The 16,295-nt window shown below is 47.0% G+C and overlaps 4 annotated features.

The window, feature by feature from the left end:
• Positions 8,653-8,882: an enhancer, noted in NCBI's record as "active region_9115". NCBI's record gives its function as "activates an Ori minimal core promoter by ATAC-STARR-seq in GM12878 lymphoblastoid cells {active_cell/tissue: GM12878}" and the evidence as "EXISTENCE:reporter gene assay evidence [ECO:0000049][PMID:35858748]".
• Positions 13,305-13,924: an enhancer, noted in NCBI's record as "H3K4me1 hESC enhancer chr14:104891201-104891820 (GRCh37/hg19 assembly coordinates)". NCBI's record gives its function as "activates a minimal SCP1, AML or CMV promoter by ChIP-STARR-seq in primed H9 embryonic stem cells {active_cell/tissue: H9 hESC(primed)}" and the evidence as "EXISTENCE:reporter gene assay evidence [ECO:0000049][PMID:30033119]".
• Positions 13,925-14,544: an enhancer, noted in NCBI's record as "H3K4me1 hESC enhancer chr14:104891821-104892440 (GRCh37/hg19 assembly coordinates)". NCBI's record gives its function as "activates a minimal SCP1, AML or CMV promoter by ChIP-STARR-seq in primed H9 embryonic stem cells {active_cell/tissue: H9 hESC(primed)}" and the evidence as "EXISTENCE:reporter gene assay evidence [ECO:0000049][PMID:30033119]".
• Positions 15,795-16,295: an enhancer, noted in NCBI's record as "H3K4me1 hESC enhancer chr14:104893691-104894191 (GRCh37/hg19 assembly coordinates)". NCBI's record gives its function as "activates a minimal SCP1, AML or CMV promoter by ChIP-STARR-seq in naive H9 embryonic stem cells {active_cell/tissue: H9 hESC(naive)}" and the evidence as "EXISTENCE:reporter gene assay evidence [ECO:0000049][PMID:30033119]".

A 16,295-nucleotide genomic window follows, 5' to 3' on the forward strand; every position in this document is an offset into this window, starting at 1 on the left:
AGAGTCCAGAAAAAGACCTAAAGGTATACAGTCACCTGAATCGTGGGAAAAGTAAAAGTTCACTGAGTAGAAAAAAGGTAGTCTTTTCAACATAGGGTGCTAGATCAATAGAATTTTCATACTTTTAAAATATATTTTGACTCTAACCTTATACCATATGAAAAATGAATTTCAGATGGATGGCAGATCTAAATGTGAATGGCCAAACAAAAACCTTTAGAGGAAAACACAGGGGTACATTGTTGTGACCTTAGAGTAGGCAAATATTTCTTGAATAGGAAACCCAAAAACAAAATGATAAATGTTTGAGGTGATGGATACGCTAATTACCCTGATTTCATCATTACACATTGTATACATGTATTATTAAAATATCACGTACAATTATTACATGTCAACTAAAAATAAAAGGGGAAAAGAGAAAACACAAAAACGCTAACTACCAAAAAGAATGATAAAGTGAACCATATGAAACTTTATTTTTTATTTTTATTTTTATTATACTTTAAGTTCTAGGGTACATGTGCACAATGTGCAGGTTTGTTACATATGTATACATGTGCCATGTTGGTGTGCTGCACCCATTAACTCATCATTTACATTAGGTATATCTCCTGATGCTATCCCTCCCCCCTCCCCCTACCCCATGACAGGCCCCAGTGTGTGATGTTCCCCACCCTGTGTCCAAGGGTTCTCATTGTTCAATTCCCACCTATGAGTGAGAACATGTGGTGTTTGGTTTTCTGTCCTTGCGATAGTTTGCTGAGAATGATGGTTTCCAGCTTCATCCATGTCCTTACAAAGGACATGAACTCATCCTTTCTTATGGCTGCATAGTATTCCATGGCGTATATGTGCCACATTTTCTTAATCCAGTCTATCATTGATGGGCATTTGGGTTGGTTCCAAGTCTTTGCTATTGTGAATAGTGCCACAATAAACATATGTGTGCATGTGTCTTTATAGCAGCATGATTTATAATCCTTTGGGTATATACCCAGTAACGGGATGGCTGGGTCAAATAGTATTTCTAGTTCTAGATCCTTGAGGAATCACCACACTGTCTTCCACAATGGTTGAACTAGTTTACAGTCCCACCAACAGTGTAAAAGTGTTCCTATTTCTCCACATCCTCTCCAGCACCTGTTGTTTCCTGACTTTTTAATGATCGCCATTCTAACTGGTGTGAGATGGTATCTCATTGTAGTTTTGATTTGCATTTCTCTGATGGCCAGTGATGACAAGCTTTTTTTCATGTGTCTGTTGGCTGCATAAATGTCTTCTTTTGAGAAGTGTCTGTTCATATCCTTTGCCCACTTTTTGATGGGGTTGTTTGATTTTTTCTTGTAAATTTAAGTTCTGATATTAGCCCTTTGTCAGATGGGTAGATTGCAAAAATTTTCTCCCGTTCTGTACGTTGCCTGTTCACTCTGATGGTAGTTTCTTTTGCTGTGCAGAAGCTCTTTAGTTTAATTAGATCCCATTTGTCAATTTTGGCTTTTGTTGCCATTGCTTTTGGTGTTTTAGACATGAAGTCCTTGCCCATGCCTATGTCCTGAATGGTATTGCCGAGGTTTTCTTCTAGAGTTTTTATGGTTTTAGGTCTAACATTTAAGTCTTTAATCCATCTCAAATTAATTTTTGTATAAGGTGTAAGGAAGGGATCCAGTTTCAGCTTTCTACATACGGCTAGCCAGTTTTTTCAGCACCATTTATTAAATAGGGAATCCTTTCCCCATTTCTTTTTTTGTCAGGTTTGTCAAAGATCAGATGGTTGTAGATGTGTGGTATTATTTCTGTTCTGTTCCATTGGTCTATATCTGTGTTTTGGTACCAGTACCATGCTGTTTTGGTTACTGTAGCCTTGTAGTATAGTTTGAAGTCAGGTAGCGTGATGCCTCCAGCTTTGTTCTTTTGGCTTAGGATTGTCTTGGCAATGCGGGCTCTTTTTTGGTTCTATATGAACTTTAAAGTAGTTTTTTCCAGTTGTGTGAAGAAAGTCATTGGCAGCTTGATGGGGATGGCATTGAATCTATAAATTACCTTGGGCAGTATGGCCATTTTCACGATATTGATTCTTCCTATCTATGAGCATGGAATGTTCTTCCATTTGTTTGTGTCCTCTTTTATTTCATTGAGCAGTGGTTTGTAGTTCTCCTTGAAAAGGTCCTTCATATCCCTTGTAAGTTGAATTCCTATGTATTTTATTCTCTTTGAAGCAATTGTGAATGGGAGTTCTCTCATGATTTGGCTCTCTGTTTGTCTGTTATTGGTGTATAGGAATGCTTGTGAATTTTGCACATTGATTTTGTGTCATGAGACTTTGCTGAAGTTGCTTATCAGCTTAAGGAGATTTTGGGCTGAGATGATGGGGTTTTCTAAATATACAATCATGTCATCTGCAAACAGGGACAATTTGACTTCCTCTTTTCCTAATTGAATACCCTTTATTTCTTTCTCCTGCCTGATTGCCCTGGCCAGAACTTCCAACATTATGTTGAATAGGAGTGGTGAGAGAGGGCATCCCTGTCTTGTGCCAGTTTTCAAAGGGAATGCTTCCCGTTTTTGCCCATTCAGTATGATATTGGCTGTGGGTTTGTCATAAATAGCTCTTATTATTTTGAGATACGTCCCATCAATACCTAATTTATCGAGAGTTTTTAGCATGAAGGGCTGTTGAATTTTCTCGAAGGCCTTTTCTGCATCTATTGAGATAATCATGTGGTTTTTGTCTTTGGTTCTGTTTATATGCTGGATTATGTTTATTGATTTGCGTATGTTGAACAAGCCTTGCATCCCAGGGATGAAGCCCACTTGATCATGGTGGATAAGCTTTCTGATGTGCTGCTGGATTCGGTTTGCCAGTATTTTATTGAGGATTTTTGCATCGATGTTCATCAGGGATATTGGTCTAAAATTCTCTTTTTTTGTTGTGTCTCTGCCAGGCTTTGGTATCAGGATGATGCTGGCCTCATAAAATGAGTTAGAGGGGATTCCCTTTTTTTCTATTGATTGGAATAGTTTCAGAAGGAATGGTACCAGCTCCTCCTTGTACCTCTGATAGAATTCGGCTGTGAATCCGTCTGGTCTTGGACATTTTTTGGGTTGTAGGCTATTAATTATTGCTTCAATTTCAGAGCCTGTTATTGGTCTATTTAGGGATTCAGCTTCTTCCTGGTTTAGTCTTGGGAGGATGTATGTGTCGAGGAATTTATCCATTTCTTCTAGATTTTCTACTTTATTTGCGTAGAGGTGTTTATAGTATTTTCTGATGGTAGTTTGTATTTCTGTGGGATCAGTGGTGATAACCCCTTTATCATTTTTTATTGCATCTATTTGATTCTTCTCTCTTTTCTTCTTTATTAGTCTTGCTAGCAGTCTATCAATTTTGTTGATCTTTTCAAAAAAACCAGCTCCTGGATTCATTGATTTTTTGAAGGGTTTTTTGTGTCTCTATCTCCTTCAGTTCTGCTCTGATCTTAGTTATTTCTTGCCTTCTGCTGGCTTTTGAATGTGTTTGCTCTTGCTTCTCTAGTTCTTTTAATTGTGATGTTAGGGTGTCAGTTTTAGATCTTTCCTGCTTTCTCTTGTGGGCATTTAGTGCTATAGATTTCCCTCTACACACTGCTTTAAATGTGTCCCAGAGATTCTGGTATGTCGTGTTTTCGTTCTCATTGGTTTCAAAGACCATCTTTATTTCTGCATTCATTTCGTTATGTACCCAGTAGTCATTCAGGAGCAGGTTGTTCAGTTTCCATGTAGTTGAGCCGTTTTGAGTGAGTTTCTTAATCCTGAGTTCTAGTTTGATTGCACTGTGGTCTGAGAGACAGTTTGTTATAATTTCTGTTCTTTTACATTTGCTGAGGAGTGCTTTACTTCCAACTCTGTGTTCAATTTTGGAATAAGTGCGATGCAGTGCTGAGAAGAATGTATATTCTGTTGATTTGGGGTGGAGAGTTCTGTAGATGTCTATTAGGTCCACTTGGTGCAGAGCTAAATTCAGTTCCTGGATATCCTTGTTAACTTTCTGTCTCGTTGATCTGTCTATTGTTGACAGTGGGGTGTTAAAGTCTCCCATTATCATTGTGTGGGAGTCTAAGTCTCTTTGTAGGTCTCTAAGGACTTGCTTTATGAATCTGGGTGCTCCTGTATTGGGTGCATATATATTTAGGATGGTTAGCGCTTCTTGTTGAATTGATCCCTTTACCATTATGTAATGGCCTTCTTTGTCCCTTTTGATCTTTGTTGGTCTAAAGTCTGTTTTATCAGAGACTAGGATTGCAACCCCTGCTTTTTTTTGTTTTCCATTTGCTTGGTAGATCTTCCTCCATCCCTTTATTTTGAGCCTATGTGTGTCTCTGCACATGAGATGGGTCTCCTGAATACAGCACACTGGTGGGTTTTGAATCTTTATCCAATTTGCCAGTCTGTGTCTTTTAATTGGAGCATTTGGCCCATTTACATTTAAGGTTAATATTGTTATGTGTGAATTTCACCCTGTCATTGTCATGTTAGCTGGTTATTTTGCTCATTAGTTGATGCAGTTTCTCCCTAGCATCAATGGTCTTTAAAATTTGGCATGTTTTTGCAGTGGCTGGTACTGGTTGTTTCTTTCCATGTTTAGTGCTTCCTTCAGGAGCTCTTATAAGGCAGGCCTGGTGGTGATATTAAACTTTAAAAATTCCTGCTCATCAAGAGACATAATTAAGACAGGGAAGAAGCAAACCACAGAATGGGAGATGCTATTTGCAACATGTATCTGACAAACTACTTATGCCCAGAATGTGTTAAAACCCCTATAGATCATTAAAAGAAGGACAGATAAACCAATAGGAATATCAGTCAAAGATTTAAATAGACATTTCAGAAAAGAGGATATTCAAATGGCCAATAAATATATGAAAAATGCTCAATGCCACTGGTTGGTAGGGAAATGTAAGGGAAAACCAGTATTAGGTTAGCATTATACCCACCAGAATGACTGAAATGGAAAGATGAAAAACCACATTTTGACAAGGCTGTGATGCAACTGGAACTCTCACACACTGCTGGTCGGCATGTAAAGTGGTACAAAACTTTGGGGAAATATTTGACAAAGTCTGTTAACACTTGATGCAGCACTTACACTTCTAGGTATAGACCCAACAGAAATGGGTAAATATTTTTTACCAAAAGTATAAACAAGAATGACCATAGAAGCACTATTTATAACAACCCAAAACTGGACATTAAAATGCCACCCCTCCGCCAAACAGTAGAATGGGCAAATAATTGATGGAATGCTCACATGGTGGATGCTGGGTGTCAATGAGAGTGGTGAGCCACAACTACACACGACAGCACGTATGGACCTTACAAGCAAACTATTGAGTGAAAGGACCAGATAGGAAAGAAGGTATGTTGAATGATTCCATTCTTTAAAGCTTGAACCAGGCAAACATAGTTTAATATGTGCTGTTAGACGTCAGGATTACAGTTGCTCTTGGGAGGAGACACGGTGAGCAGAAGAAGATACAGGAGAGGTCTCTGGAGGAGGCTAGCAGTATTCTGTGACTTTATGTGAATACTGCTTTCACAAATGTATTTACTTTGTGGTGCTTCTGTGAGTTGTAACAGTATGATTTGTGCACATTTTCATTTGTATGGTATATTTCAAAAAAGTTTACCTGAAAAACATAGTGCATGTGCATGTGGAAGCATGTATGAGGATGTTCATTGCAATGCTGTTTACAGTAGAGAAAAATTGGGAACAGCCTAAATGTCCATCAACAGGGAAATGATTAAATCAATTACTATCTATTAATATTGTGAAACACTAGGTAGAACTTTTAAAGAATAAAGTAGATTTAAATAAACTGGCAAAAGGCAAATATGGAAGCTATGTTGACAGCAACAAAACCAGGCTGCAGAACAATACATATAATTGTTTAGACATATATGAGTCAAGTTATAGATTTTTGTAGGTTATATATTTATATGCAAACACATAGAAAAGTGCCCTAAAGAAAGCACAACTGTGCTATGGTTTAAACGTTGACATCCCCCAAAATTCATATGTTGGAATCTAATACCCAATGTGACAGTATTAAAGGGTGAGACCTTTAGAAAGTGATTAAGTCAAGGGAGCTCTACCTTTATGAATGGGATTAATGCCCTTATAAAAGAGGGTTGAGTGAGCTCCATGGCCCCTTCCACCAAGTGAGGACACAGAGAAAATGCCATCTGTTAGGAAGAGCAAGGCCTCACCAGACAATGACAATCTGCCAGCACCTTGATCTTGGACTTCTCAGACTCTAGAACCATGAGCAATACATTTCTGTTGTTTATAAATTACCCAGTCTAAGGTATTTTGTTATAGTAGCCCAATGGACTATAACAAACTGTAATAGTGATTTTCTGGGGAAAGCAGACTAAAATTAGGGGTGGAGGTCAAAGTTATTTTAGGTTTATTTTTGTTTGTGTTTTATTACAATGACAATATAATCATGATTACTTGAGTAATTAAAAATAATATTTCAAATGGTAAGTGAAAGATTTCCAACAGGACATTTCCTAGCAAGAAAATGCATACATATACACATACAACTTCAATATATTCAAAAAGTTAAAATTGTACAAGCAAAACTACTTTACCTTGAACCACTAGAACTAGAAATTATTAATAAGTCTAAATAAAAAACCCTTACCAACTGGTAATTTAAAGGTACTTCTGTAAACATTCGTAGAAAATGAAAAAATATTTTTCAAACTCTAGAATAGCAGAGAAATAATGAAATTGTTAAGAACAAATGGGTTTCAACAAAGCTGTCCTCAAAGATGAAGTCACATCTTTAAATGCTTTCATTAGCACAAAAAAAAATCAAAACTTTCAAGTCAATAAGTTTTTTAAGCAGTTCCAAGGAAGAACAAAATAGCAGATGATAGCAGAAATTATTGAATTAGAAAAGGGAAAAATGAGGATTAGTAAGTACATTAAGAGCTAAGAGATAAGTAAATTAAAAAGTTAAGTCTTTTAAAAATCTAACACGACAGACTCAACTCTGGCTAATCTATTAATAGTTACTACAAAGGGGAAAGCATAAGAAATAGCAATTAAGGAACATTTAAAATCCCATAATAAAGACAGTAAATGTGCATGCAATTTTAAAAATGAACAAGGCATTATTTGCATGGTTATATGATGATAAATCTGAATGGAAATAAATACATGATCAAAGTTAACATTAAAAGAACTGAGCAACATGAATAAAGAATTATTCTTGGAAAAATGTTTAAATAGAAAGGAATTACATCCAAAAGAGGTACCAGACTCAGGCGTTCTTGTTGGTGAGATGCTGTGAAATTTTAAGGCATAATTAATTCCAAAAGTATGTATCAGTTTTAGAAATGTGTAAATTTGGAAAAGTAATTTTATAAAAGTAGAGTAACCCTGAAACCAAAATCTGACAAATATAATCCACCATCTGTTCTTCAGTCTACAAGAAATAGCCATTACATTAAAAGAAGTTTCCACTATCTCATAAGATTTACCAAAGAATTAAACAAAGTCAATAGAATCTTTAAAGCAGAACTTCTCAGAGCCTTTGATATGCAAATGTGCATTGTGGTTCTTAAGAAGGGCAGGAATACAGCCTGCAGTGTTTCCCAATTTTATTCGTCCAAGCAAAAAACCATTTCTACCTGGAAGCATCTCTTGGGAGTGGTGATCTGGGGTACATCCTTTGGGAAAGCCTGCTATGGAATATAAAACTGCATGCAAAATCAAAAGTGAAATATAAGCAAGTAAAATTCAGCTGTGTGTTTAATCAACAATCTATGACGGTTTAACATGGGAAAGGAAGAATGGTTTAATATAACACATTGTATTATTTTATTTATAATACAAAATACCAATAGGCCTCAAAATAGAACCTGAATAAATGTTGAAATATTATTCAGAAAATTTAAAAATACATTTCTGATAAAACATTTAGTAAATAGTAAAGTCTCTTACATGCATAAAAGCATTGTCTACATAACTACCTGTTCCGTGTATCAAAATCATAAGCAACAGATTTGAAAAGCAAATAAATGGTGAAAATTTATGCAATGAATATCATGAACAAAGAGAGATCTCTTTAAAATCATCAACAAAAGCATTATTATCCCACATAAAATTGGCAAAGGTCAACTCATAAATGAAGGAATACAAATCACCAAAAATTATTAAAAAGTGTTCATATTATAATCAAAGAAATACAAGATTAAGATATTCTTATTTTTATCTTTCAGGTTAAATAACATATACATTGCAAAACATCAGAAGAGTATATATCAGACCAACATTTTTACAAATCACAAATATAAACTTAGACAAAATATTTTAAAAATCTATGTGAAGACACCAGAGAATAGCCAAAAGCAAACAGAAACAGAAAAAGATAAGAGTCCAGATACTAAACAACAGAGGTCCCCAGTCCCCAGGCCATGGACCAGTACCAGTCCGTGGCCTGTTAGGAACCAGGCCACACAGCAGGAGGTGCGTGGTGGATGAGCAAGCATTACAGAAAGAAAAGCATTACAGTTGAAAGAAAAGAACTGCGTTGATTGAGTTCATGTTTCTACGACCTTTTGGTGCAGAAAAATCCCCAATTTTTATGACGTATAGCAACTAAAACTTAAACAGAAAGTTGCAAACTTACTGGCTGAAGGGGTGAGAGAACAGTGTTTGGAACTTCCAGGCCAGCTAGAAATAGAAGAAAAATCCCAGAAAGGAGAGAGCCAGAGAGAGAGAATCCCCCAGATCTGCACACAAATGCTGCTCAAATTTTTGGCTGACAGCTGCACTGCACGGGCACAAAGGAAGCTCCAGGAAGCCCAGCACAAAGCTACTGCTGAAAGGCTGGAATAATCCAGCAGATAGTTCAGCAGAGGTCCACCAAAGGAGAAACATGGTTTGAAGTCTATGTCTAGCAAAACTTCAAATTTATGTTTATATTATGTTATGAAGTTTATGTCTAGCAAAGTTGTGGCTTTCAAGAACAAATAGCAACACACTTCAGAAGATAACAGTCCAGATACTATACAACAGGGGTCCCCAATCCCCAGGCCATGGACCAGTACCAGTCCGTGGCCTGTTAGGAACCAGGCCACACAGCAGGAGGTGAGTGGTGGATGAGCAAGCATTACAGCCTGAGCTCCGCCTCCTGTTAGGTGAGCAGTGGCATTAGAGTCTCATAGAAGCACACACCCTATTATGAACTGTGTATGCGAAGCACCTAGGTTGCATGCTCCTTATGAGAATCTAATACCTGATGATCTGTCACTGTCTCCCATCACCCCCAGATGGAACCATCTAGTTGCAGAAAAACAAACTCAGGGCTCCCACTAATTCTACATTATGGTGAGTTGCATAATTATTTCACTGTATATTACAATGCAATAATAATAGAAACAAAGTGCATGATAAATTTAATGTGCTTGAATCATCCCGCCAGCCTGCCACGGAGCACCTGTGGGGCTGGAGCCTCCGACGCAGCCTGGCAGGGAGGGGTGTTGGTGAAGAGTCAGACTCTGCCGGCCCCCCTGGTCCGGCACCCGCGGGCATCTGCCTGGCCAGAGGGCAGCTCCGTAGCCAATGCTTCTCTAAGCAACCTGTGGTCCCTGAATCCGGACCTGGTGCCCTTGGGTGAAGGGAGGTGACGTGCCTGTTCTCAAGATGCTGGATGCTGGGCTACCCCAGGCTCCCTGGGGGTGGAGGTGGGGAGGGCCACTGAAAATACTGAAGAGCATCCCCGGGGCCCCAGATGGAAAGAGAGTAGCGGTTGGGCCTCTGTGCATAGGATGGAAGGGGGCCCTGGGGCCTGTCCCCCACTCCATTTCTCTTTCCTCATCTGTGAAATGGAGGAAAGCATGTATTTCTCCAGCTCAGAGATGCCCGGGAGGACCAAGGGCCTGGGGGAGGCAGGGCTTGGCCAGGGTGGCTCGTGGCTGTGAGCAGGTCCCAGAGACTGGCCTGTCTCCCTGGGTCCACTGCAGCATGATGGGTTCCTGCTGATGTGAATAGGCTGACTGCTGCCCTCCCAGAGGTCCCCTTAAATGCCGTACCACACCACCCCGGGGAAGCCAGGCCCAGGTGCCCAGGAGCTGCCCAGAGCCAGGCCCACATGGATCCCAGCTTGCTTTCTGCCCCTCCTTGTCCTGAGCTACCTAAGCCCAGGTTAGGCTGAGCAGCCCCCTCCCCACACTCCCACCAGACTCTAGGGCATTGTGGGGGGTCCCTTCATAGAGCAGGCTTGTGGCTCCGGCCTCTGCAGCTGTCCTGGTTTTGAGACATTTTACTCCACTTAATAAAGATTATTTGTTGAAAGCAGAAATGAATGTGTCTCATTTGTGTGCTGCAGGAATTCATAAGCATCACCTCCCTGATCCCCCTCGCTCCTGTGGGACCTGGTGTTTCCCCACTGGATTCCAGCCTGCCCTCCTGGCACCACCCAGGCCGCCCCAGCCACCGCAGCCACCCTACTCCCTCTCCCTCTCCCTCTCCATCTCCCTGACGCAGCGACTGAGTCGGCTTTTGACTCTATGTGATGTCTCTCAGCTCCGTGGCCTCTAAATGAAAAGATTAATTAGTTCGGGGAGCCCAGCACAGGACTGCCAGGGGCACTCTGCTGTTCTGCAGACAGGGGGACCGTGTCATTGCCGTTTTGAATTGAAACAGGCCTCTTGGAGAGAACCATGCTTAGGAAAGTGTCGAGAAACCTCCAGCGCTTTGGGGCAATAAGGGTGTAGTGCTGTCAAGATGCTCATCAGAGCCTAGTAAGATCACCTAACTGCTAATAGCTGGTGGGAGCGGGAAGCCAGCGCCTCTGATGGAGCAGAAAGGCCCACGTGTGAGGAGGAGGCAGGAAGGGCTTCGCTTCCAGGAGGGCCAGGGCGGGAGGACTGGAGACTGTGTCCTCTGAGTCCCTGCTCAAGGACCGTGTGAGGAACTCCATAAAATTTTATGGAGTGAATGAACTCGCCGTGTTTGGCTCGAGCAAGTGACAGGCTTGCCAGCTCTGAAGGTCTGTTAAAAGGCAGATGGGAAGATCCGCCTCTATTCTGAGACAAACTTGCCTTGTGTGGTGCGAGGTGAGGTGTGGGGACCGGCAGCGGGCCTGCCGCGCTTCCCGGGCAGCGGAGCCGGACTGCGCACCCAGCGCCCCGCTCTGTGGTGTGGGGTGTGTGGTATCTGAGCCCGGGACGCGGCTCAGTGACTGTGATGGGGGCTGTTCAGCTGTTGTGGGACTGAGTTACACGCATCTCACTGGCAAAGCCACATCATCTCACCCCACAAAATACGGAATTTGGGGTGTCATGGGTCAAGAGGCTCTGCGCTGGACAGTGTGGGGTATGGTGGGTGTGTGTCCGTCTGGACGTGTGTCCCTCTGCCTGAAGGGATGCAGGGCCGTGAATGGACCCAGCAGCCCCCGCATCAGCCCTGCCCTCCCACAAGCAGCCGAGGAGGCTGGTCCTAAGCCGGCGTCTGCACAGCTCCCTGAGGGGGAACAAGGGGGAGGGTCTCAGAATGGGGCTGAATTTTTCTCCACATTCAGTCCCCGGCTGGACCTGCAGAAACCTAGGACGGCTTTGACCCTGGTTTACAGCTTTCGGGAACCCCAGGGAATGCTCTGGCCTCTAGGCTGGAACCCTGCCCCTCTGACCCCAGCCCTCCGGCCATTCCTACAGCGAAGGCCCAGGGATGTTAACCAGTGCAGAGGCCGGGAGCAGTCCCGGGAGGCGCCCCTGTTTAGATCTCATGGCTGGTCTCTGTCTCCACGTTCTCAGAGGCCTGGGAGGGGCAGGCTGAGGGCTCTGCCAGACCCTCCTGCCCAGAGCCCCTCCCCAGGGTCTGGCCCAGCGAGGGGATGGCATCACTCCCTGGGGTGGGTGCCGGGGATTACGGCAGGTTTGGGGAGGAGGCTGGTGGGGCCTGAGCACGGGCTGGTGTGGGGGCCAGGTGAAGGGTGCCCAGGTGTGTCAGGATGCGGCTGGGAGCTCACTCGGCTGGGGGGACGCCTCCCCAGCGCCCGGGTGGTGAAAGTGGGTTTCCCCCTCCAGCAAGTTCTTTCCTCAGCCCATAAAGCGGGAATCCTCCCATGTGGAAATATGGAGACAGGCCCCTCCCGCTGCCTGTTCTCCCCACGGCAGGTGAAGGGCCTCCTTGGAGGGCCTCTGCTTTCCAGTCTGTTAACACGAAGCCTGCCAGAAAGTCCCCAGGACCCCAACCCCCACTCCTTAGAGAAGCTGCTCTGGCCTGTCTTTGTCCCTCCCCGACACTGCCAACTCCAGGCCCCCGTTACCCCACTACTTATGGGCTTGGTCACCTGTCACCTCCCCCAGGAGGCTCCTTGGGCCCCAGGCTGCCCTCCAGCTGGGCCCAGCGGCTCTCCTGCCAGTCCCGCTGGCTGGGGACTGCACCTGCTCCCCAGGCGTGGCCTGGTGCCATCACCCGGACACCCAAGGACAGGTTTGGACTGCCCATCCTAGGCTCCCATCCAGGAGAGGGTTTGGCGGGGGCAGCCTGGACCTGCCCATTCCTTGCTGTCCTAGCTGCCCAGGACTGTCCCAGTTCTAGCCCCAGAAGCCCTCAGCCCCAGAAAACTAGGGGTGACTTAGGCTTGGCGGGGCGGGTCAGGATGTATCCCCACTAGGGAGACAGTCCGGCCCCCCAAGCCATGTGCAGAGAAGCCCAGGGCAGTGGGATGGAAGGAGGGGTTCGGGGAAGAATCCTGCTGGGGGGGGTGTCCAAAGGACAACCCGAAGGAGAGGTTCAAGGAAGTCCTGGCTGAGCAGAGATGCTGGCGGGCAGCGGGGGCAGTAGGGGAACCGGTGGATCGAGGGCTCTTCCTCTAGGACCTAGTGCTTCCAGGAGCATCTCAGGAGCTGAGGGGCATCTGAGGCCACAGACGGGAGGCTGCATGGGTGGCGGGGGAGGCGTCTGCAGCAGCAGGCGTGGGAGCCCCTGAAAGCTCTTGGCAGGGGAGGGACGGGCAGCTGGCATCCACGAAGCCCCCTGGGCTGTAGCCTGGAGCCCAGCCTGGAAGGGCAGCTGGGTGAGAGGAGGCTGGGCACACAGATGCACAGTATGGGCAAATGGCCAGGTGGGGCTGTGCCGCCCCGGACCGCAGGGTCCCACTTGGCTTCTGTCTGTCACAGTCACCGCCCCCACTTGGAGAGCGTTTGCTGATGGAGCTCAGCTCCAGAAAGTGCTGTTTAAAGATTGAAGAGCTCCAGGCAGGCGATTACAGAGCACGTGGGTTGACTCTCTCTGACCCACAGCTGGTGGAGGGAGGGGAGGAGCTGGGGGCGCCACAGCTGGATGTGCTCCTCCCCCACGAGAAGCGCCCAGGGCACGTGGAGCAGAGGGAGGTGCTGGCTCTCATTTTCCTCCTCACTGGAGCGAGGCGCTGGAAGGCCACTCCGAGGGTGGGGGCGGCACGCTGCCTGTTCCCCACTGGCTCTGCCCTTGGGGCACCTTAGCTTGGGTCCAGCCCACCTGCCCCAATACCCCTTGCCGGACCCTGCCCTGCTGCCTGCCCCTGCCTGAACCCCACCCCCCACCCAACAGTGCTTCCCGCCCAGTCTTTCCCAGTTGCAGGCTGAAGCCCCCCACTCCCTGGGCATCCCCTAGGAGCCCTCCCTAGCACCGCCTCCCACACCCATTTCCCAGATAAGATTCTACCGTTGAGAACATACCATGGGGGGGCCACCCAAGGCCCCTGAGCCACACGTCCAAAGCACAGACACCTTCGGAACAAAAGCCTCTTGGTGCAGGGGATGGCGGCGGCCGAAGTTCACCCTGCCCAGGGCAGGACACCCTGCAGCACCGGGAGGGTCTTGGTCTGTGTTTCCAGGACTGTGAGCGGGGCCTCTTTGGCCTAGTGGGGAAGAGGGCACGTATGGGGCCCACGACCTCTCCTGTGCCCAGGGGCTGTGGTCAGGGCACTCGTCCTGCAGCCACAGACAAGTAAGTGACCAGGACCTGCGGGGAAGATAGGAGATGAAGCCCCCCCGGACATCCCCGGCCCTCCCCAGGAACCAATTTACAGTTGCTGAGCTCTACTCTGGGCCAGGATGAATCAGGGACACGACCTGGGAAGGGGCGGAGAAGAGGACCTCACGCAGGTGCCAGGACTGGCCCTGCCCCCACTGCCCCAACCTTCATGATTCTGCCCCAGAGTCACCTGCCCTGGGCCTCAGTGTTCTCACCTGGCGGCAAGGATGTTCCTGAGCATTTATTTCTGAGTGGGTTTGTGTGTGAGGTCTCTGCATGGGGGCTCTGTGTGTTGGCACATGTGTTTCGGCTCAGAGTTTGGGTAGGGGGCTTCTGTATGCACATGTGGGTCTGTACACGTGTGCGTGTGTGTGAGTGCATGTATGTGTATGCACAGGCATGCATGGCCTGTGTGTACGTCAGAACGTGTGAGTGCACATGTATGCATCTGTGTGTGTTGCATGTGCGAACAAGTACACACGTTTGTGTGTGTGCACCTGCACGTGTGTCACTTGCGTGCCCTTGCCTGGGTGGGAGAAAGGACAAAGGCGAATGCTCTTGTCTCCTGCTGCTGGGTAACAGCTCACCACAAGGCAAGGCCTTGGACAGCACCACATTCGTCAACTCAGTTTCCCTGGGCTGGGGGCAGGCTTTGCTTAGCTGGACTCGCTGCCCCGTGTCTCACATCCGGGTGCTGGCTCCTGCATTATTCCAAGAGCATCCAAGCTGGTGGCAGAACTGGGTGCCTCTGGGTTGGGACTGAGGCCCTGTTTCCTGGCTGTTGGGGCCCCTCTAGAGCCCTGGGCCTCTCAGGATGCCTCACGCACACCCCTCACTCTCCAACTCTCTCTGCCTCTTTTTCTGCTCTCGGCTTGTAATGGGCTCACCTGACTGGGCCAGGCTAAACCCATGACCTCCACGTCATAAGGGGGCCTGACCTGGGACCATGACTCCATCTGGAGAGTCCCCTCACAGCAGAAAGTGGATTCCTGTTTAATTAAAAAGCTAGGCCAACATAACGAACCCCCGTCCCTACTAAAAATATAAAACTTAGCCAGGCATGGTGGTGCACGCCTATAATCCCAGCTACTTGCGAGGCTGAGGCAGGAGAATAGCTTGGACCTGGGAGGCAGAGGTTGCAGTGAGCTGAGATCATGCCACTGCACTCCAGCCTGGGAGACAGAGTGAGACTCCGTCTTAAAAAGAAAAAAAAAAAAAAGGGCCAGGAGGCAGGAATCTTGGGCGGTAACTGCTAAGCTCTGCCTGGGTGCACCCATCTGAGCCCCATCTCTGTCAGGTGTCTGCTGCACCCGCCGGTGACTGTACCAGGCATAGCAGCAGCACCTACCCCTCTCCTCCCCGCCCACCCTCCTCCTCCCCGCCCACCCCTCTCCTCCCTCCCTGCTGCCTCTGGCCTCTGGCATCCCCAGCCCATGCAGTCACCGAATCCCCTTGTTCCTGGACATGGTCCAAGGGAGATTTATTACTCAGCCCATCCTTAGTGTCGAGGGAGCAGCCCCAGACACAGCCTCTGCTCCTGGGAAGCCATGGAGGGGGATAGGGGAGCCTGTGGCTTGGAGACGGAGCTCTGGCTGGGACGAGCTCCTTGCACAGCATGGTGGACCCTCGCTGAAGTGAGGAGGAACCCACCTCACCGATTGCTGTGACCTCCCAAGATGAGTCGGGCCACGAGCCTGGCCTGGGGCTCCAATCACTACAGCACGCTCCTTCCCCGAGTCGGCCTCCTGGGCCTCACTTTCCCCAGCTGCACAACAGAGAGTGAGGCCCTGAGCGTTGGGAGGTTGGAAGCCAATCTACAGCCTTCCTCCAGTGCACCCTCCCATCTTGGGCAGAGGCCAGCAGCACACACGGGCTCTGGAAGATGGGACTGCCCCGTCCATGCAGTGCCCACCTCCCATACAACCAACCTGGGCTGCACTGCGGGCTGCTGCACCACTGCCCAAGTAGCTGACTAGGGAGGCACCACCCCCGGCCACGCAGCCGAGGCCATCGTCTCCCTGGAGGTCGCCTGGTGGTTTTCTCAGGTTGTGCCCCCAAATGACCACGAACCCAGGGCACCTTCCTCACTCCCCCTGCACCCCAGGGCCTGGCCTTCCCTCACACCAGGCCCCAATTTCCTCCTCCTACGGGAAGCCTTCCCTGATGCCACCAACCTGTTCTGTTCTTCCCAGACATGTTCTTGGGCCGAGCCAGCCAGAGGGTGGGGACCAGCACTCAGGCCATGTGTGTAGCTGGGGACTTGGGTATAGAAAGATAG

Source organism: Homo sapiens, chromosome 14, assembly GCF_000001405.40.
Source record: "Homo sapiens chromosome 14, GRCh38.p14 Primary Assembly".
NCBI lineage: Eukaryota > Metazoa > Chordata > Mammalia > Primates > Hominidae > Homo > Homo sapiens.